Source organism: Homo sapiens, chromosome 5, assembly GCF_000001405.40.
Source record: "Homo sapiens chromosome 5, GRCh38.p14 Primary Assembly".
NCBI lineage: Eukaryota > Metazoa > Chordata > Mammalia > Primates > Hominidae > Homo > Homo sapiens.
Genome location: NC_000005.10, coordinates 139884801 through 139906214, shown reverse-complemented (window position 1 = coordinate 139906214; position 21414 = coordinate 139884801). Strand labels below are relative to the sequence as shown.

At 51.5% G+C, this 21414-nt stretch overlaps 1 protein-coding gene across 8 annotated transcripts in view, besides 1 other annotated feature; it reads left to right on the top strand.

Annotated features, from left to right (window-relative positions):
• The window catches only part of NRG2 (neuregulin 2), a 196519-nt gene that overhangs the window by 137085 nt on the left and 38020 nt on the right, over window positions 1–21414 (top strand). For 7 of the 8 annotated variants that reach the window (NM_001184935.2, NM_013981.4, NM_013983.3 and 4 more), the window contains exon 2: window positions 18704–18875. In NM_001184935.2, the coding sequence (NP_001171864.1) occupies window positions 18704–18875 (172 nt within the window). Of the gene's footprint in view, window positions 1–1743; window positions 1909–18703; window positions 18876–21414 lie in introns of those variants that run through there. The other variant, NM_001410780.1, reaches the window with a different exon arrangement.
• Window positions 1948–2027: a silencer, noted in NCBI's record as "silent region_16436". NCBI's record gives its function as "represses an Ori minimal core promoter by ATAC-STARR-seq in GM12878 lymphoblastoid cells {active_cell/tissue: GM12878}" and the evidence as "EXISTENCE:reporter gene assay evidence [ECO:0000049][PMID:35858748]".

The window sequence follows — 21414 nt, the reverse complement described above, 5'->3', positions numbered from 1 at the left end:
CCAACATGGTGAAACACCGTCTCTACTAAAAATACAAAAAGTAGCTGGGCATGGTGGTGCAGGCCTGTAATCCCAGCTACTCAGGAGGCTAAGGCAGGAGAATCGCTTGAACCCGAGAGGAGGAGGTTGCAGTGAGTCAAGATGGCGCCACTGCACTCCAGCCTGGGCGACAGAGTGAGACTACATCTCAAAAAAAGAAAGAAAGAAAGAAAGCTCACTCTGATGGCCTTGGAGAGGTCAGAACTGAGAGGCAAGACTTCAAGCAAGGAGACCATTGTCTATGGGATAGGAAGAGGGAATGAACCAAGGCAGTACCCCAAAGGCTGAGGAGGGATGGATATGAATGCCATTTTGGAAACTGAAGAGCAGGGGTTGAAGCAGAAGTGAGACCTGGCCCCTGGCTCTGGTTCTGCCCAGGGCCCCTTGCTGCCCACCTCACAGAAAGTGATACTGTGTGAAGTGGGGTGGGTACTCGCTCTCCCTCAGTTGGGGTGGGGTACAAGGGTTGTCTCTTACACCTGCCCCCCCCCCACCAGAGCTGGCCCCTGATGAGACAGACTTGCGCCCCAAGATCAGCCCTTTGCGGGGCCATCACCTCCAGCTTCCCCCTTTCTGTGTTCCCACCCCACAAGTTTGGCCTCAAGTTCTGGCCGCATCCCCAGACAGCCCTGGAGCTCGAGTCCCTGGCCTTGACCCAGAGTCCTAAGCCTGCTTCAGGCTCTCCTAAGGAGAATCCTGTCCAGAGAGGCCTTCGGACCCTTCCTGAGGAGACAGAGGACTGGGTGAGATGATCTTTGACTTGGATTCTGGTTGGGATGGCTGTAAGGGGACACCTCAGGCAGAGCTAGGCAGGCAAACCGCAGGCTCAGGCTTTCTGGGAGCCAGAAGAGGGAGAGCCTTTGCTATGTAACCCTTTCAGCACCACACCCAGGCAGGAGGGAGGACTCTGTCCTCTCCAGCAGCCCCTACCCAATGGTTTGTGGGACCGGGGCGGGGGTGGGGAGTCAGTGTCTGAGTTCACCTCCGCAGGCCTTGCAGAGAGGAGCCAGCTGGTGCCGGCAGCCTGGGCTGTCGGAGTTGCAGCCAGAGTGTGTGGGAGGGGGGCTACAAGCCACCTGGGGCACCCAGGTTCCCTGCAGAGTGCAGCCCGCCCTGGCTGGGAGGGGCTTTTGGGCCACAGACCCCTTGCTGCCAGGCACAAATGGTGGTTGCATTAAAGGTGTTCCCCAGATGGCGGTATCCCACGGGGCTGAGGCCAGACCTGCAGGCATGAGAGGCACAGGCAACCCGCCTGTACGGCCGGGGGTGCCTCGAGGTTGTGGAGACCCACCGCAAGAGCCAAGGGTGCTCGCTACCCCGCTGGGCTGGCTAGCGGGCTTCATTTTGGTCCCTTCCTGGGCCCTTTCCTCGCTGTCTCCCCACCCCCATGCTGTCCTTAGCCTGGCCCTCGCTGGGGGATCTCTACTCCGCCCTCCCCAATCATGCTCAGGCCCCCAGCCCAGCTCAAGCCCCCTCTTCGGCGAGGAGGTCTGTGGCGCCCTGTTTAGGCGCCGGTCTTGCCTACCTCGGTGGGCCCAGGGAGGGGGCCTAGGGCCCAGACCGGCCGCCCACACGCCCCCGCGGCCCGAGCCGGTGGAGGGGGGGCGAGGGTGGAGGGCGCGGGAGGGGAAGAGTTAAGGCTCGCTGCTCCCCTCCCCCGGAGGGTGTGACCGCCTATAAGAAAGGCGCCGCGCTCGGGCACTGAGGCTGCAGGCGGCGGGGGCGCAGCGCGGCAGCGGAGAGCTGAGGCCGTCCCACCGCCTGGGACCCCGTGCAGAATGTCGGAGTCCAGGAGGAGGGGCCGCGGCCGCGGCAAGAAGCACCCAGAGGGGAGGAAGCGGGAGAGGGAGCCCGATCCCGGGGAGAAAGGTAGGGCACCTCCGCGCGCCCAGAAACCCGGTTTCCCTGGGAGAAACCTGCCGCCCGCTCACCCGCCCCCAGCGCAGCGCGGGTGAGTCTAGGCTGCGCTAGCGGCCGCCGCGGTGACAGGCACCGAGGGCGCGCGTGCCTGCGTGCGAGCGGGTCGTCGCGGCCGGGAGAGCAAGGGGCTGCGTGCCAGGAGCCCGACAGTGGCTGTGCGCGCCTCTCCCCGGGCGGCCGCGTCCCCACGCAGGGGCGGGCAAGAGGCGCTGCACGCCGGTACCGGCCTGCAGGCGAGCAGCCCTGAGCGAGCGGGGATGGAGCCGCGGATACCGACAGAAAGGCGGCGGCTGATCAGACGCTGGGCCCGGCCTGGCCGCCGAGCGCTCCGGGAGCTGTCACTGCCTTCCCTTCCTCGGAGAGATCGGAGCCCTCGGGCTTGCCCCTACCCATGTGCCACACCTCCCTCCGTTCTGCTCGGCCACTGGAGCGTGGGCAACAGCGCCCGCCAACTCCGGAGACTCGGAGGGGATGCCCTGCCCCGCTCGCGAACCCCAGAGAGAAGGGGAGCCGCTGCTTCTGTGACAGTTCCCTGGGAACTGGACTAGACATTGGGCAGTTGTCTCTCTCTGGTCTTCGGGAGTGACTCTCTTGGGCCCTTGGATTCTGTCCCTGCCTGGAGGAGCAGAGCCATGATTTGCGACCCACTTTCGTGCCCTCCCTGGGCGGTTGCAGAGTCAAAGAGGAGTGCACTGGTCTCGGGCTTCTCAGAGGCGGCCCGGGGCATGCACATCCTCTCCGTAGAACCAGGCTTGCACTGGGGCCCAATTGGGGAAACCCTGGATTCTCGGTTCTTTTCTTCAGGCAAGCGTTTTGTTAATTTTGTGCTAATTTTATGTGTTTTGTACGAGTCACAGGCAAGCCATGTTCAAATGCTTTATCTCCATTTAATCCTCATAACAATCCTGGGAGCAGGTGGTCCTATCTCCATTTTACAGAGGGAGTAACAGAGGCTTACTGAAGTTAAAGTAACGAAGTACGTTCCAGAGATAAGACTGGGCTTCAAAGTAGCATTCTCAGGACAAAGGTCCTGAGACTTGCTGGGTCTCTATCCCCTCACTGGAGTGCCCACCAGATCAGCAACATAAAAATGCCTTCAAAAGAGCGTTTGACGGGAAGCTGGGAGGCTTCGATGGTGCTTGAGAATTTGGCCAAATCCCTTTCCTTTCCTGAATTTCTGTGTAATGATAGGGAAGGGGTAGCAAGGCTCTGAGGTCTCTATTGGGAAGAGCCTAGGCGTCAAACACTATTTCCAGCAGGGTAGAGAGAAGCAGTTAAGGAAACTTAAAGGCCAGAACTGTGTTCTCCTTCTTTTTAAGAGAAAAGCTCTTTGCCCATTTCTGCCAGACAAGTGTGTCTTATAGCTCTTCCCAAGGACAGGTGGTCTGCTATGAGGAGCCTGTGGGTCAGCTCAAGCTGGGCTCCTGCAGTGTGGGATGAGCTCCCAAACTGAGATCTGAAAGAATGCAGGGTGCCTCTTTTTATGATCGAAAATTTATGGATTTGGTTCAGTGAGCCACCTCCATTACCCACCCCACTCCCATTCCCCCTACATACACATCCTACCTTGGGCATTTTGGAAGGGTAGCTAGGTAAGAGCACTCTCTCAATGTCAAGGAGGCAGGAGCTGAGCTGGTAGCAAGCACTCGGTGGGCTTCAGCTGGTGGGAATCACTAGTGCCAGGGAAATGCACATGGAAAGCATGAGCAAGTAATTCACTAAAACCTTTAGCTTAGATGTGGGGTGGGAATCTGGAAAGTGGGAGGGAGAAAGGAGGGGAGAGAGAAGGGGACACTAATTAATGGGCTCCCCCTGGTCCTTGACCACACACTCAGCACCCTCCAACAACTCCTTAGCAAATAGCAGGAAGAGGTACCTCTCTCCACACAAACCCAGGCCAGTGTGGGGAAATGGGCTTTTCCTCTGCCTCAGTGCAGGAGTGCTGGCTGGGGCTGAACTGCAGGTGTGAGCTCTGCTCCATGACTCACTGAGAGTTTGTGGGTCTGAGGCTTGGTATCCCTAACCGGGAACTGGGTCTCCCCCATCCCCCATTTCCCCTTCTCCCCAGCTCATAGTCTTGCCAGCCTTGGCAGCGGTGCTGGGGGTGTTGGGTAATAAGCCCACTCATGGTATAGTGGAATGGCACAGCTGGAAGCCAGGCACCTGGGGTTCATCCCTGTTGGACCTCTGTGTGACCTCAGACACTGTCCTCCCTTTCTGTGGGTCTCTGGATATGCAGTCTACGCTCAGCCCTCACCTTCTATATGAGAAGGGCAGAGCGTAAGCCTGCATACCCAGCATCTCTGAGAACCCCTAGAGGAGAGCCATGAGATTGGAGGAGTGGGGAAAATTGGCCTTAAAGAAAATCAGAATCCCTGTAGTTGCTGTGTTGTTTTAAAGAATGACTTTGGAAGGGGATTCTAAGTTACCAGCCTTTTCTGTGTGCCCCAGTTGGTCAGGGTTTCATTTAAAAAAAGTCTCCTCTGCTGGAGGTCCCTGTGAACTGAGAGTCTGAAGCTGCCCACAGGCAGACATGGAGCAGACTTTGGTCTTCACCAGAGTGTCCTGGAGTGTGAAGGCAGATTAGCATCACTAGCTGAGGGCTCTGGACACATCTCATTTCAATTCCCTGGACACAGATAAATCTTTGCAAAGCCTTTCTTTCCCATCTTTGCTATCTCCTGCCTCTGATAAAGATGCTGCCCTGACTTCTAAAACAAACTCCCTTCTTTAGGCTGTCCAGGACCAGGTCAGAGGTGGGATATGCTCATGTGCATGTATCGGAGCCACATCTGGGGGTTGCTTCTGGCAGCCTCCACCTCTGGTCTTGGCCCCTGGCTGACCCTGCTGAGCCAGGCACCTTGAGCTGTCCTCCTGCCACTCTGGAGCTCAGCCTATGCCTCATGCTCTGCTCTGGCTCCCTGGCACCTCGAGGTTCATTACAAACAATAACAACAAGCAGAGTAACTTTGTACTTCCCAACAGTCTTTCATCCTGAGAGCTCAAAGCAATTTACAGACCAGGACTCATCAGTCTTCATCCCAGGTCCCAGGCATTTGGCAGGGGTGAAGAGGGGACCAAGAGCTCTAGTCTTTCCAGATTGGCACAGCGGTACAGCTGGGGTAGGGCAGTGAGTCATCTGGGTTGGGGGAATCGGATGGCCAGTAGGTCTGGGATAGAAGTAAAATTGGACTACTGGCTTTAGGTTGCAAACAGAGGGTATAGTCCCCCTTAAAAGAGTATGAGCTGGGCCATTCCTTCTCCTAGGTGGAGACCTAGGCCCTCTGGCCTGTGTGGGCTCATTGAGTTGCTGGAGGAAGAAGCAGCAGCTTTTTGGAAGCAAAGTCCCTTGGAGTCAGATTTTTGCAGGAATCCCAAGGTGCTGCCTGTTGCTGCCTTCTTCCCCTTGGTGCTGGGAGCTTCAGGGCCAAGTCAGGAAAGCTCTGACATTAGGGCAGCACCAAAATGAAGACACATGGAGGAAAAGGTGCTGGCCCAGCCTGGGCAGGCCCTAGCCCTGGCCTCGGGGTTGGTTTCCCAGTTGCTACCCATACCTGGTCAGTCCCACTTACTCCACTAGCCCTCCTCTGTTCTCCAGCCCACCAGGCTGGCCTGAGGGACTGTTACTATATGGAAGAGGGGCTTAGGAAAAAACAAAACAAAACAAAAAAACCCTCTGGCAAAGCATTGCCAAAGCATGAGACCTGGGCCCCATTGGAACCATGTTCTCATTGTGTTTTCCCACCATTTCTGAGCCAGTAGCACACCCTTTGTAACTTGGTGGGAAGCAAGTAGCAGCCCATTTTCCCAGTCTTCCTCCAGCCTAGCCATCCTCTCATCAAGACTTCCAGGCTCTGGCCACATGGTAACTACATAAACTGCATAAACTACATGTACGTTCACTCATCTTTGTGTATTCAATTCTGCAGGCATTAACTGAGCTTCTATTATGTGAATAAACAACAGGCCCTGTCTTCAGGAAGCTCAGAGAGACAGATCCTTATACAACTACCTATGATCAGAACCGAGGGTAAGACCAGAGATAAATGTGCAACATCTGGTGAGGAGAGGAATGATTTGTTCTCCTAGGGTGGTGTAGGGAGGACTTCACAGAGGAGATGACATTGGAGCTGAGCCTGGATGGTGAATAGGAACTTACCAGGGAAAGAAAAGGGACTTCTTAGAAGTAGAAACATGTCCATGACCAACTTGCATGGGAGACAGGGAGACAGCTCTCATTTACTAAGGACTCACTACAGGCCAGTACTGATACTATAAAGTATAGGTATTATTTTATCATCCTCACTTTACAGATGAGAAAACTGGGGCAGAGAAAGTCCCACGATTAACCATGAATTAGTGGCAGGATGAGATCTTAAGTTCAAGTCTGCCCCCTGCCCAGCCTCAGTCATGCACAGTCCACCTGGCTCTGGGCTCTTCCATGCCCCTCAACAAAAACCAGGGAGAGGCAGAGGATCTCTGTTGGTCCACTTGGAGCAGGCCCTCCCCATCAGATCAACTGGTCAGATATCTACTTCCTGGGCTCTTGGGTGGAGTTGAGAGGATACAAAGATAAGTGGGTCGAGTCCCTGCCCTCACAAGGAGCTTGCAGTGTGACTGTGGCAGTAAGGTGTGAACAGGAGCCATGAACACTGACAGAGGAGGGTAGCACTGAGGCCTTGAGCCTGCACAAATAGGCAGGAGCTCCTGAGAAGACAGTGGTTTGTTATGGTCAAATGGCCTAGCCAGAAACCAAGCTAGAGGTCTAGAGTCCGGCTAGATCTAGCATCAGAATGAATAGATATCTGGTCCTATGGAGCCCCTTGTGAAAAAGATGGACATTTAAATTATTGGGAACCTGATTTAAAGCACCAACTGGGGACTTGTTAGAAGTACAATTTCTTGGGACCTACCCCTGACCTACTGAATCAGTAACTATGGGGATGGGGGCCAGTAATGTACATTTTATCAAGCCCCCCTCCCACCCACCATTTATTATGATGCATGCTCATGTTTAAGAATCACTGATTGAGCTGGGTGGCCCAGCCTCCTGGAGCAGAGCCCTGTAGAGGGCCTGTCAGTTCCATAGGTGTTAACCCAGCTCCTCAGTGTCAGGCATGAGGCTTGGGGTCTGCAGTGCTGGCTGAGATCCTGTCACCTGGCAGGACGAGATAGACACGAACAGACCTAATTTCAATTACAAGGCTGACCCTGGCAAGAGATGGCCCAGAACAGATAGAAGAGACTAACTCTAACCAGAGGAATCTGAGGAGGCTTCGTGGAGGAGGAGATGGGGTTGAGGCAGACTTTGGAGCATGAGAAGGACTTTGGCAAAGGGGCTATGTGCCCAGATTGAAGAAGTCACTTAAGGAGGTGTGGAGGCTTGGAAACAGGATATTTGGGGAAATAAGGCACAATCCAGAAGGTATGCTGCCAAACAGTGGATTTTCTGAGTGCCAGGCTACTGAGTTTGGACTTTTCTGAGTCAGCAGGGAATGAAGGGTTCTGAGCAGGAGGGTGACCTAGTCCAAGCTGCACTTTAGGCATCATAGCCACATAGCTCTTTGTGAAAGGATGGGAAAAGGGACGGCACAGTCAGGAGCTCCTGCAGTAGCCCCAGCTGAACCATCAGAATGTGCATGTGGTGATGGCTGGGTAGAGGAGGTCACAGGCTTTGCCTCGGGATAGCTCGCCAGCTGCAAACACTTTGGGAGGATTCTGGGGGTTTGGACCTGGCAAACGGGCTGTGACTTCTGGTGCAGTCAGGTGAGGTCTGGATCTGAACTCATAGTTCACTCCCTTCACTGTAAAGATGGAGAAACTGAGGCCCAGAGAGGGAAGTCCACACACCAAGGCAAAGGACTTGGCCCTATAGGGCAAGAATGAGGGCAGCAACCTGCTCCCCTAAACCAGCCACTGCAGCATGGGTCTCACCTCTCATGCCTGCGGTGCAGATGGATTCCTCTCAGTTCCATGAGTACCTCGTGGTTCCTTCCGGCCTTGTTCCTGTGAACCTGCTGTTCACTTTGCCTGGCACATGTTCTCTCTTAGCAAACTCTTGCTCATCCTTCAGGTCCAGCATAGGCTTTGTTTCCTCCACAGGGCCTCCCTGGTCCCCAAGGTGAGGAGCACATTGCTCAGCCAGAATCTCCACCAGGGCGAAGGCCACATCAACTTGACCCTCAGCACTCGAAATGTGCTCAGTGCTCAATCCATTCTTGAACGAACACATGAATAAGGACATTCTCAAGCTATTTCACCCCTGTATGTGGAGACCTAGCTGGCCACTCCTGTTTGAAGAGGGTCAGTCTCATGGAAGGAGGCTGCCCCAGTTGAGCTTCCTGCCCAGGCTGGAGCCCCTTAATGGTTGGGCAATGGTAGGCTGATCAAGAGTCATCTTTCAGTCAGGGCCCCGACTTCATTATCTGCTCTGCCATTCTAGGGCAGATGCCTGTTTGGGCTGGCAGGGAGGGAGAGGGATGAGTTGGGGAGGAGTGTTGGGTGGGAAGGGGCTCTGGGATTACCTGTCAATGGATCCCACCCTCCAGCGAGTGCTCACAGCAGTCTTGATCTGGGCTGCTCTGAGGCACCCATCAGTCACAGTCCAGCCTTACAGCATTAATTCATTTACTTGGCCTGTGATCAGTGAACACCTACCCAGTGACAGACACCAGGAAACACGGCGATTCTGCAGCACATGCCCCCACCAGCTCCTCACAGTCTAGAAAGATAAGAACCTGATTTTCTCCAAGGTGAGAAGCCCCGAGAAGAGCGTGTGAAAGTCTCAGGAAGTCTGTGAGGCAGAGACTGCTTCTAGCTGGGTGGATTAGTGAAGGTGGTGGCATCTGAGATCTTGAGGGATTTAGATTAATAAGAGCTGCCGGTTATTAAGCTATCTCTGTTTCAGGCACTGTGCAAACTTCTTGACATACATTACCCTCATTTAATTCTCTCCACAATCTTAAAAGTGGATGAGACTGTCCCTGTTTCACAGACAAGGAATGAAGGCTCAGAGAGTTTAAGTAACTTGCCTAGTTATACAAGTGCTGGGCAGAGCCAGAATGCACAGTGGCATCCGTCTGACCCCACAGCTTGCATGTCTGACCCTCTCAACTCGGCTTCCTGTGTGAGGGATGGCATTTAGGGGAAGCAGGAGCAGAGGGCATGGAGGCAGGGCAGAATAGGCATGGGCAAGTTTGGGGAGCAATCGGTGATTTGGTTTGCCTGGAATATACGATTCCTGAAGGGAAGTGGTAGGGGAATGTAGAGAGGCAAGTTTGGGAAGGAAGCCCATTCACTGACCCAGCAAACATCCCCTGAGGGCCCTGGCTGCCAGGTAAGGAAGGTGGGCGGCCTTTCTCTACAGACATCACAGAGCCAAGGAAGGTTTCTGAATGGCCGTGAGGCACATTGAGGTGGAACTGCCAAGTGTACACTGTTCATGTCATGGTACTGGGGGGTGGGGAGCAGTATGACCTGAGCCAGGGCCTGGCAGATGATGGAGAGTTATGAGGATAAGAGGCATGGTAGAAGCCAAATGGACTCAGCCTTTGGGGAAAGTCAAGAGAGACACAGGGTTGTCACAGATAAAGTGACTGAAAGAGGAAATCCAGGAGAAGGAGCAATCTTGGAAGAGAAGATGGAGAAACTGGTTTTCCGCATGTTATATTTAACCTAATGACTAAATACCCAGGGAGGAAGGTGTTCATTCTGGGGTGAGTTCTTTCCAGTCCCCTTGCCCTCACTAGCCAGGACCACAAGGACCACATTTCAGCCCTCCCAAGCTCCCAGGGTGCCTAAGCTGGGACTTTCATGCTTGCAGTTGAATTTGAAGGAAGGAGACAGGGCCTCTGGCAGCCTGGGCACCCTGCACCCATGGTGAGCACATGAGCCTGTTCCTGCTCTGCATCAGGCCTGCTAAGACCTTTCTCCTGAAACCCAGCATTTTTTCAAAACCTTATACTTTTATTTTATCTTAAAAATCCACATGAACTTAACACTTTTCTCCACCATATGTCTGTTTGTTCTGATACAAAGGTGCTGCTTTTCCTTATTAATAAGCTTGGCAGACCCTCAGAAAGAGGCCCTGAGATCATCCTATGGCTTTGCATGTATCCCAGTTTGAGAAGCCAGTCTTTTCTGCATGTACAGGGTGCCTCCCCCTTTCCCCAACCCCTGCTACATTTCCCCAAGACTCAGAGCTTCAGAAACAACTTTCTCCAGCCAGGCCAAGGAGGCAGGAAGCACAGGCCCACCCCAAAGAGGATGGGGCTCTGGGATCCCCTTCTTGGCCCTTTCTGAATTCCCTGAGCAAGAGACGGCCTAGTCCACCCACAGCTGGCCCTTTCCACAGAAGGTTCTCCTGGGCCAGGGCCCAAGACTTTGGCCCAGAGCCCAGCTTTCCCCAGTAGGGAGATTAAACAGAGTTTGGGTAAATGGTAACAGTTTTCCAGAACTGCCATCTCTGCTTTGTCCCCGACCTCTGCCCTCAGCAGCTGAAGAGATGATAGTGGTCAGAGGCCTTCCATCCCTCCATAGAGAGCTTTCTCTTGCTCTATTCCTCTAAAATAGACAGAGTGTGGTTTATAAATGAGTCAACTGAGGCCCAGAGAGGCTAAACTACTTATCTAAGGGCAGACAGTTGAGAAATTGGGAGACTGGGACAAAGACCTGGATTGCTGTGTCTTCAGCTGCCTCTCTTTCCCCTGTTCCTGCTCTGCTTCCTCTGTGCCTCATCCGTGCCAGCCCTAGGTGTCTACAGCCTGTGCCACAAGCACTGCTAAGAACCCAGGGAGACTGAGGCATCTGTACTGGGTATCCCTATGCCTACCCCAGCAACTGCTGCCCTGCTCTGTGAACCTGTGCCATCTCTCCCAGACATAGGTGACAACCTCCTCATCCCCCATCTCTGCTACTCGTGTGCCTGTATCCCAGCCCTGCGCTGGGTGGAGCACTGCGGCGTGGACCTGCGTGACTCTGGGGATGAGGTATCTCTCCCTGGCCTTGCAGAGCCCTGAGGAGGCCAGTGTTTCTCTCAGGATGCTTGGCTCCTGGCAGAGGGGGCTGTGGGTGGGAATAGTGTTGTCCCTGGTGGTCAGGCCTGGGCCTGTGCATACCTGCCCTCACATTGCAAGTTGGGTGTCAGTGGATGGGTGCTTCTGGATGGGCAGGTGAAGCTTTAAGGCAGGAATCATTTCTGTTGGTCTTCATGCTGCCAAGTTTTGTCTCCTCCTCCTCCCTTCCCCTTCTTCTTTATCTGCCCTCCTGGTGCAGCTTCTGCCTCCCCTCTTTAGTTCTCATCCCAGCTGGCCTGGCCCCTCTTCTCTACCTTGCAGCTGAGATGCCAGGCACCTGGGCTGCTGAGCTGAAAGCCCATCAGGTCTAGGCTGGTTTTCACTGGTGCAGGGAAGGTGGTCCTCTTTGAGGATCAGCCTCTGTGGGAGCCCTAAACAGGAGGCAGAGACCAACCCGACACCAGGGCCATGTCTTATTTGGCACCAAATCCCTGGTGACTGGTAAGTGCCTCGTACATCATAGGGACTGTTGCATGTGGGTATTTGTTGGATGGATGTAAGAAGAGGGCAAAGCAAGCCCAGGCATTGGGCTGGGCTTAGGTGACTGAGGAAATGTGGCTCAGGGAAAGCTAAGCAGCCCAGCTGGGCATACACTCCCTTTGGGAGTCTGTCCTGTGAGTGTGAAATTGCTCTTCTGCAGGCCATGGGTAGGATGCCTGGCTGCCTAGGCCGTCTGTGCCTACTTAAACCAGCTGTGTTTTTAGCTTAGTGGGTTTTTTTTTTTTCTTTCTCATTTGAACTTGGAGTCTGTAATTAACCTCCAATAGGTTGCAGTCACTTTGTGGGTGGGACAGGGGTGGGAAGGGGGCTGGCCTGCAGCTGGCCAGCAGCAGGACAGTGGGAAACTTTGATGCCAGGCAGGCTGGCCACATTGTCTCCAGGTGTTGCCCTGCAAAGGGAACTGCTCAGCCTTAGTCATGAGGTGAGGATCATTAACCCTTTTAAGAGCCTGCTGCCCCTGCCCGCTGGGTGCCGGGAGGGAGGCAGAGCCAGGTCCTCCCTGGCTGGGTTGCCCAGCCATGTCCTGAGCGTCTGTCTTGCTCTCAGATCTGAGTAGGCTCCGCACCCACCGCCCACTGCCGAGAGGAATGAGGTTAAGCTGCTGGCAGCAGCGGCACCCCCTGGTCTCAGGGCTGGGATGTGGGAAGAGAGCAGTCCTGGTTGTTGTTGCTGTTGTCGCTATCTTTAATGAGGAGCTTCCTGGGGATGGCCTGTCAAACAGATACAGGCCAGAAGCCCTGGCTTGGCACCAGGAGATAGGAAGCAGAAGCCACCGGATACCCTGTGGCCCAACTCATGGCAACCATGGGGAGGTGTCCTAAAGTTTTATGGAGCCCGTCCTGGAGGAAAATCTTTTTGTGGAGGCCTGGGCCATCCTTGAGAGAGCTTCTTGTTCTTATAAAGCTGCCAAGGGAGACCTCCCCACATCCCCACACCTCAACTCCAGTGAACCCTTGTCCCAGGAGGAAGAGAATGGATGAAGTAGCCTCTGGGCTTCCCCCAAAACCCAAGGAGTATGGGAGCTCAGCAGAGGGTGCTTGGTCTGAGGAGGAAACCTTAGGGGAAGGAAGAGCTGCCCAATACCCAAAAACCTGTGTAGGCCATCAGCTTGCCACCTGCCCCTTTCGTCTCTGGGGAAGGAGCTGCTGCAGGGATCAGGGTGTCAGTAATGGCCATGGGTGCAGAGTGCTGGGAACTTTCTCCCCTTTCTTGTGCACACAGAACTTCCTCTTGCTTTTGCTAGATGCCTCTCATCTGTCCACTCTTCTGTGTGCTGGACCTTTGAGGGTCCCCTTTCTGCATGAGAAAATATGCATGAACCCCCAGGACTGCTGCTCCTCCCTTCAGCCACAAAGCTGAATTTATGGAGAAATTCATTGCAATATTGTTATTATTAGCAGAACGTTGGAGACAACCTAATATGCTCATCTGAACAATGAAATATTATGCAGCTACTGAAATGATTCTAGACTTGGAAAAATGTTTTGAATGTATATTGACTGAGAAAAATGGGATATAAAGCATTTTGGAGAGAAAAGTCTTTTGGCAGACATTTGAAAATGCCTACAGTGGCTTTCTCTCTGTTGGTAATTGAATTGATTTAAATGTGTTTTTCTTTTTCCTTACTTGTGTAATTTTTTCACAACAAAAATTTCTTATGTAACAAAACAACAACAGAAGGGGACAAGCTAAACTCTTTGCGGAGTAGGGGTGGTTACTCCATATACAGCGGATCATTTCTGTCTGGGGCCAAACACAGAACCTGGCTCATAGCAGGCATTCAATAAACAGGGGAAAGGAGAGGTGCTCAATACTCAAGGGCCCAAGTAGTCCATCAGCTTGCTGCCTACCCCTCCATCTGTGGGGAAGGAGCAGCGGTAGGGATCAGAGTGTCGACTGAATGGGGGATAAATGCCTGCCCACTGCATTGCTTCAGTTCTTTCCCTGACAGATCCCATGCATCCCAGGAAGCCTGTTCCTCTGCTTGGTTCAGCTCTGGCCCCAAGACATTCTTGAGACATGGTGCGATGATCTCTATACCCATACACTAGCATTGTAGTGTGGGCCCTGGGCTGTAAAAGAGAAACAGGCAATACCAGACCTAGCTCAGAGAGGGTGTCTAGGTGAGGGGCCGATCTAGCCCAGTCATGTCTGAGGTCCCGTTAGAGCTGTCTCTGGATGCATAAATGTCTGCTATGTGAACAGCCCCTCAGCCTTATCCCACATGACCCCAGGGCCTGGTACTAGATCCAATGGCTAGAGGATGCATAGAGAAAGGATGGTGGCTCAGGATAAGAATGAGCTTAACATGCAGAAAGTAAGATCAGGTCATCCCCCAACTTATAGCCTCTAATGCCTTCCCAGCACACCTACAAAACCAATCCAGGGCCATCTTGGGGAGGTCACCTCAATCTTTGCCACAGAAAACCTGGCAGGGCTCTAGGCCCAGGAGTGCGGATGTGGAGGACATTGTTCCGAGGCCATCTGGTGTACATTCTTCTCTTTCCTGCCACCTGAGCTGCTGCCACTGCCCCCTGACCCCAAGGAACTTTCCTACAAGGTTTGCCCAACCCTGGCTTTCAACTTTCAAATCACTGCAAACTAGGATTGCCTGTGAGCAAAGACCAGGACTTGCAGCTGCTAGAGCAGGAGGCATGGCTTTTAGCATCACAGATGATTCCGAGGAACCGTTAAGAGCTATAAAAGAAAACTCTGTAAAGAACGTGGCATGATTCAAATGTATGGTTATTTTTATTTTGTCATCCTTTAAACCAGGGCTGTCCAATAGAAATATAATGCAATCCACATATGTAATTTAAAAATTTCTAGTAGGCACATAAATAGTTTTTTTTTAATGTACAAAATAAATCCAGACTTCTCATCCTGGCTTGCACAGCCCCATGTCAACCTGGGCCCTACCTACCTCTCCAGGCTCCCCTCAGACCCTGCCCATCTTCTACTATCTTCCAGCCATATAGGCCTCTTTTGGCCCCATGAACTCATCAAGCTCATTCCCACCTTAGGGTCTTTATCCAGCTGCTTTTTTTTTTTAACTGTCTCATATTTCCTGTTGATGTTTTGTTTATTGTCCCCCTCACTAAAATTCAGGCTCCCTAACAGTAGGATGCTTATTTCTTGGTATGGTTGAATGAATGAATGAATTCATTTGGAATGAACTGAATAAATGAATAAGGAACAGGTGAACTAGATAGGGTTGTTCTGAAGTGAGTGGACTATCCAGAAATGGCTACTGAGTCACACAAGGTTCTCACTAGATGGAGTGGGCTCCCTGTGATCTGAAATGCGGTCCTGTGTTTTCCATTGGTGGCCGGCGATTACTTTGGAGCTCTCAGTTCCTCAGGCCCTCTGAATTAGGGCCATGCCTACTGTTTCTGGGAGCAGTCTCTATGCAACACATCCCCCTAGCCCATCACCATCACCACTAAGCAGTGGCCACAGGCTCAGTGCATAATACAGCACTGGAACTCATGTCAGGAACCAAGGTGGTAGAGTAACCCCTGCTTCCTCCCACCAGCGGCCACCGCCATCCCCCACCATCTTGTTGGGAGGGAAGTGGCTCATGATGGTGGAGACAGGCAGTTCCCTTGTCTCTGAGTTGCAAGAAAAGTCAACACACTCCAAGTGAGGTAAGGGGAAACTTTAGCACCTGATAAGAGCTCTCTGTGTTGTGTCCCCAGTTCATAAGAAAGGAGAAGGGACTAGTTGGAGGTCATCACTTGACCAAGAGGTTAGATCATCACCAGGTGTCAACCCAATCTTAGCACAAAGCCACCTGTGCATATGTGTTCAGTTTGTAACCAGTCATTGAGCTATATACACTTATAATATGTGCACTTTCCTGAATGTATGTTACATTTCCAAAAATAAAGGAACACACCTGAAGAGCCCTTTAGAACCCACAACCCGAACCCACACTCACAGCTTCTGCTTCAGAATGCCTAGGATATGTCCCAGGTACCTGACTTGTAAAGCTTCCCATGTGATTCCGATTAGCATCCAGGGTTAAGACCTAACATAAGCAATGACTGGGGACTCCAGAGCAGATGCAGGAGGGAGGGAGGTGGGTAAGGGAAGGAAGATAAAGCAGGATTTCAGTCACACTTAGAATAATGAAGTTCCAAAAAGTCCAACAGATTGTTAGATTGATGCACATAGAATCTCTGGGTGCCAAAAAAAAAAAAAAAAAGAAAGAAAGAAAGAAAGAAAAGAAAAGAAAAAGACGAAGAAGAAGAACCAGCAATATAAAAAAAGCAGGTAACTGAGGGGAAAAAACTTTGTAGCAAAAGGTTAATAGCCTTAATATTTATAAAAAGTTCTTACAAATCACTAGGATGAGCACTCGATAGGAAAACAGACTGCATGCATGAACAGGCAATTCAAAAAGAAGAAATACAATGGGCCAATACACTCATGAAAAATGTTCAGCCTCATCAGTAATCAAATAAATGCAAATTAAAATGACAAAGAGACGTTATCTTTTGCCTAGCTAATTGGCAAAGATTAAAGACATGATAATACCTCGTGTTGGTGAGTGTGTGGAAAAAACAGGCACTGTCATTCACTGGGGGGAGCGCAAATTGGTGCAACCTTTCCAAAGGGCAATTTGGCAATGTACAAAGCTGAGAAAGATTGCATACCTTCTGACGCAGCAATTCCACTTTTAGGAAGATCGCCTTAGGAAATAATTGTGAATAATAATAATAATAGCTAACCTTTGTTAAATGCTCTCTATGTGCCAGGCTCTACATGCATTGTCTCATATAATCCTCACAGCCATCATCCCAAGAGGTAAGAGCTATTATTTATCTCCTGTATTTTACAGCTGTGGAAGTTGAGGCGCAAACGAATGAAGTTAATTCTTGGACACAAATCTAACAAGTAGCAAAGTCTGGATTGAAAGCCAGACAGCCTGAGTCTAGAGCCATCCTCCCCCATACAGCAGTATACATGGGGTGTGTGCAAAGATAAAGCTGCAAGGATGTTCTTTTGGGGTTGTTTGTAATGGGAAGGGGGAGGGGGCATGCTAAATGTTCCACACAGGAATCAGTTACATAAGTTATGATACACCCATACAGGAACATTATGCAACCATGAAAAATGATGCTGTAAGAAAAACTGAGTGTGTGAATACTCGGGGGTGCGGGATTTGTATATGCATAAAATATTTCTGAAAGGAGGTCAAAGGAACCCATAAGATTGATTATCTCCTAGAAAGACAACTGTGTGGTTGTGGCCAGAAGTTAGAGAGAGACTTGTTTTTTAATCCATATACCTCTTTTCACTTCTTGAATTTTGAATCATGTTAATATCTGTCAAAATATATGTTTATATATATATATTCAATGGAATCATTGTTGAAATATATATATACACAAACAAATACACATATAAGTCATAGAATTTGTTCCACATAACTTTCATTTCCTTGAAATGCTACCAAGAGTTCCAAGAAAAAAGGTTTCAAGGCCCCCACTTAGAGAACGATACTGAAGTTGATAGATACTTCTTTAACTATGCTTAACCCACATGCTCTCCAAACCCATTTTCCCATGGAACCCTCTTGTCAAGTAATATCTGTTTTCATCTCTCCAGATACTCCTGCTTATAGAATACACTTTGGGAAATGCTATTATTAATATTTAACACCCAGGCGAAAGGGTTACACTGTTTCATTAAATGAAAGAATACATAGAGCCTGGCACATAGAGAGCATTTAACAAAGGTTAGCTATTATTGTTATTATTATCCACAAATGGCATTGATTCCATTTTGTTTAAAAATGGGGGGAGGTGTTATTTATGAGTATGGAGACAAAGGAAGGTTTTGTTTTCTTCTTTTTTCACTCCTCTGTATTTTTTCATTTTCTAAAATGAACAAAATTATTTTACGAGAATCATTGTGTAAGCCTACGTCATACATTTTTAAAGTCTTCCTTTCTGTGCTTCCTCTGTGCCCTGTGCCCCTCTCATCTACTCCCTGCGTATATGCAGCAGCTCAGGGTGAAGTTCAATGAGGGGACCCCTGTTCTAGCCAGGCCCTCTTGCCTGCCTTTCTCCAGAGCCAGCTCTGGCCCATTGTCAGCACTCTGAGTTGCTAGGGAAAGGACCAATGGCCGAGACAGGGCCAATCAGTTCCCAGACAACTCCCTGGCTCCAACAGACCCTCCCTTCTGCTACTGGAAGGCTTTTAACCATCTCACAGAGAGAAATAAGACCACAAAATCAGACACCATCCTGCTACCAGCCTAACACGTGGCAAATCTTGATACCTGAGCTTTGGTCCCAGCTCTGTGGCTGCCTGGCTATGTGGCTTCAGGCAAGTTTCTTCACCTCTCTGAGTCTCATCTGCACCATCAGTGTCAGTATGACACTGCCTCACAGAGGTCAGGGACCAAACGAGAGCCTGCATGAAGGCTTTGTGTATCCTGTAAGGGACTATCCCACTGGAAATTGTTATACACCTCAGCACGAGCACTGGCTTAGCCTCATCTTCCTGAGAAGAGAGTACTTTCTCTTTCAGGGTGTGTGTGTGTGTGTGTGTGTGTTGTTTTGTTTTGTATTTTGGTGGTGGGGAGAGGAGCAAGGAAGTGAAGCATGGGAGACTGGGGCATGCGGAAATAGAATGGCGTTTAAGAAAAATGGGGACAGCCTCTCAGCTTGGCATTTGCAGCTTTGCATCCGTGATTGGGCCTGAGCCCACCAGTACAGCCCCATGGCTTGTTACCCATGATTTTAGATCCTGAGCACTGATGTCAAGGAGATCTGTGTTTGAATCCCAGTTCCATCATCTGCCCTTAGGGAAGTGACTTCACCATTCCGAGCCTCTGTTTCCCCATCTGTAAGTGGGTTTAACCATTGCTGTGAGCTCATGGGGTTACTGTGAAGGTTTCATAAGCTAATGTAAAGCTTCATACCATTCAAGGCATGAAGGAAACTCTCCATAAGTTATAACTACATTGATGTCATCACAGACTCATTATAAATGCTTATTGAATTGAACTAGGAAATGACACTAGGAGGGGTGGCTCTCAGGATCACCCTTCCCTTCCCCAGTTCCAGCCCAAAGACAGTGGCCCTTACTCTCCACTACTCATGCTTGGCACTGCCCCTACCACCACCGTGCTCACCTACCTGCCTTGTAACCCACAGCCACCCGGCCCAAGTTGAAGAAGATGAAGAGCCAGACGGGACAGGTGGGTGAGAAGCAATCGCTGAAGTGTGAGGCAGCAGCCGGTAATCCCCAGCCTTCCTACCGTTGGTTCAAGGATGGCAAGGAGCTCAACCGCAGCCGAGACATTCGCATCAAATATGGCAACGGCAGGTAAGCAATATCCAGCCTGTCCTCCATCCAAGCAGCTGCCCTCCCTCCTCTCGAGAAGGAGTGGCCTGAACTGGGCAGAGGCCAGGGCTGTGCCCCCAGACTCACCCATGGAACCAGTCCCAGCCCCTCTCCATACTCCCCTTCCTTGCCACTCCCAGCCTTCTTCCTGCAGCTCGGGGACCCTCTGGTCATGGTGGCCCAGGGTCTTGCAGACCACAGACAAGAATTAAGCCTTTAACTTCTCTGGATAGTTGAAGGCAATTTGACTGTCACAGTCAGCTTGATCAGTGGAAGACCCTGCTCATCTCTAAAACTTCTTGAAAAACCTGCTGTAGCGTCTGAAAGCCCCAACATTTGGCAATCTTTGGTGAAAGACCCTGACTCCAGAATGCCTCTGGGAGGTCACACATGATGGGCTGGTTTCTCAGCTTAGCAAGCTGTCAGTTGTCAGAGAGCTAGGTAAGGGAAAAGGGAGCAACACTTTGATTGGTGTTGGAGAACTCTGTTCCTCAGACGGTTTCCCCCTAAAAGTTGAGAATTGTCTTTAATCCTGAATCAGTGCTCCAGGGAAGTGAATCAGAGAAGTTCCCTGAGTCTCTAGGCTATGGGAGATGGCCTGTCTTCCATCTTGGCTGGGTCAGGCAGGGGGCTTCTGGCACCAGAGAAGCCGCTAGTCCAAGGCAGCCCACCACCTCTCTGCTGCCTCTCAAGGAGAAGCAAGGGGGAAAACCCCTGCCTGCCAGCTAAACAGGCATTCTACCTGATGTCTGCTCTGTTGGCTCCGGGGACCTAGTGGCCTTCCCTCTCTGACTGAGGAGCTCCCAAACCTTTTCTACCCTCCCTCCCAGAGTAGCTTACAACCACTCCTTTCCTGGCTGTCATTTTCCTCCTCACCGCCCCACCACACACACAAAATGCAAATTAGGATGGTTTTAGAGCACACCAGCCTGCCCACAACAAAAAGTGGTAGAAGGCCAGGGCTGGGCAGGCTGCTTGGGTTTGCCATGTGGGGCTGGATGTCCATGCCCTGCCTCTGGCCCTCAGACTCTGGAACCTGTAAAAGAGGTTAAAGGAGTCAGGGGACTGGGAGTTACTTCCAGTTCTCTGATTCTCCTTCCAAGAATGGGGAGCAGAAGTAAAACTGATCACTCAAGAAAATGATCCTGGCAGAAAACAGAATGTAATTAAGGAAGAGTTTGGCTTAGATCAAAGGTTTGTGGCTGAAAGAATGCCGCTTCCTAAGGAACTTGCCATGGCCAGTGGCGAGTGGGGGGTTCTATATGTCCCTTGTCTACAGCATTGGCAAGAAGCTCTGGCTGCCCACCCAGCCCACCTTCCGAGACCACCCCACCCCTTCTCACTGCCCTACCAAGGCTGCTTCCAAGCTGGAGAGAATGGGCAGGCTTCTTGGAGCTGGGGCAGTTGGGTCCCGTCTCCCTCCTATCCTTTCTTTCTAGAAGATGGTTTCTCCCCTACTTCACTGCAGTGACGAAAGTCAGGAGAGCCCCCCTTTCCCTCCTCATGGCTCCCAAACATGTCTACAACCTGCCTATCATCATCCCACCCTACCTGGTGCCACACACTCATACTCACCCTCCCTCCCGCACATTCCCCCCCACCACACACACACACCCACAGAGCCCTGGTACCACCAACTCACTCCTTTCTCTGGTAACTTCAGCTTTCTCTCCCTACCAACAAACCCACGCCCGTGACTTTTTTTCTCAAATGCTGTCCCTCCACGCTGCTGCTCCCCTGGCCCTCCAGCGGTTGCCCCATCTCACTTCCGCCCTCCACCACCATATGAAGTCACTGAGGGAGCTAGCCTCATGCCCACTGACTGCGCACTCTCGTCCTCCACTCACTCTTTGACCTGCTGGAATCTGCCCTTCAGTTACATCCCAACCTCTCGATGGCTGTGGTCCTGGAGAAACCGCAGTTATCTTTGCACTTCCTGGCTCAGGCCTCCAGGCCTCTCAGCGGCCTCGGCCTGGGAATACCTGCTCCCCGGGCCCTGTGGTGCTCCTCCTAGTCTTGCTGTGAGTCTGGACACTGTCTCTTAGTTGCCATCAATGCTGGAACTTTCCTGAGCTTTGGGCCTCACTATTTTCTTTCCTCCCTTTCCGCCTGTGGGTGATTTCACCTTCTCCTGTTGCTTTAAGAATCTGAGACCCCAAGTCTCCATATCCAGACACAATGGCTTTTTTACCTGAGCTCCAGACCCATGCTGCCAGAGAGACACTAGATACCACACCTGAGATGCCTCACAGACATTTCTGATTCTGAAGGCCCAATCTGGCCTCTCCCCTGCCTGCTGTAGTCCTTTCTCTCCCTCATGTGTTCCCCTCTCAACTGTGGCTCAACCAGACTCTCTGCTGCTCAACCCCTGACCCTTTGTCGTCTGCCCAGGGGGTCGTGCCTCTTTCCCTCCTCCTGCACATTTCTTATCTGGCCTCCCTGCCTCGAGCCTTCCTCCTCTGTCCCACTCTTGGCCACTCCCCACCTTTTCTGGACCACAGGCCCCTCTGAGAATTCATTT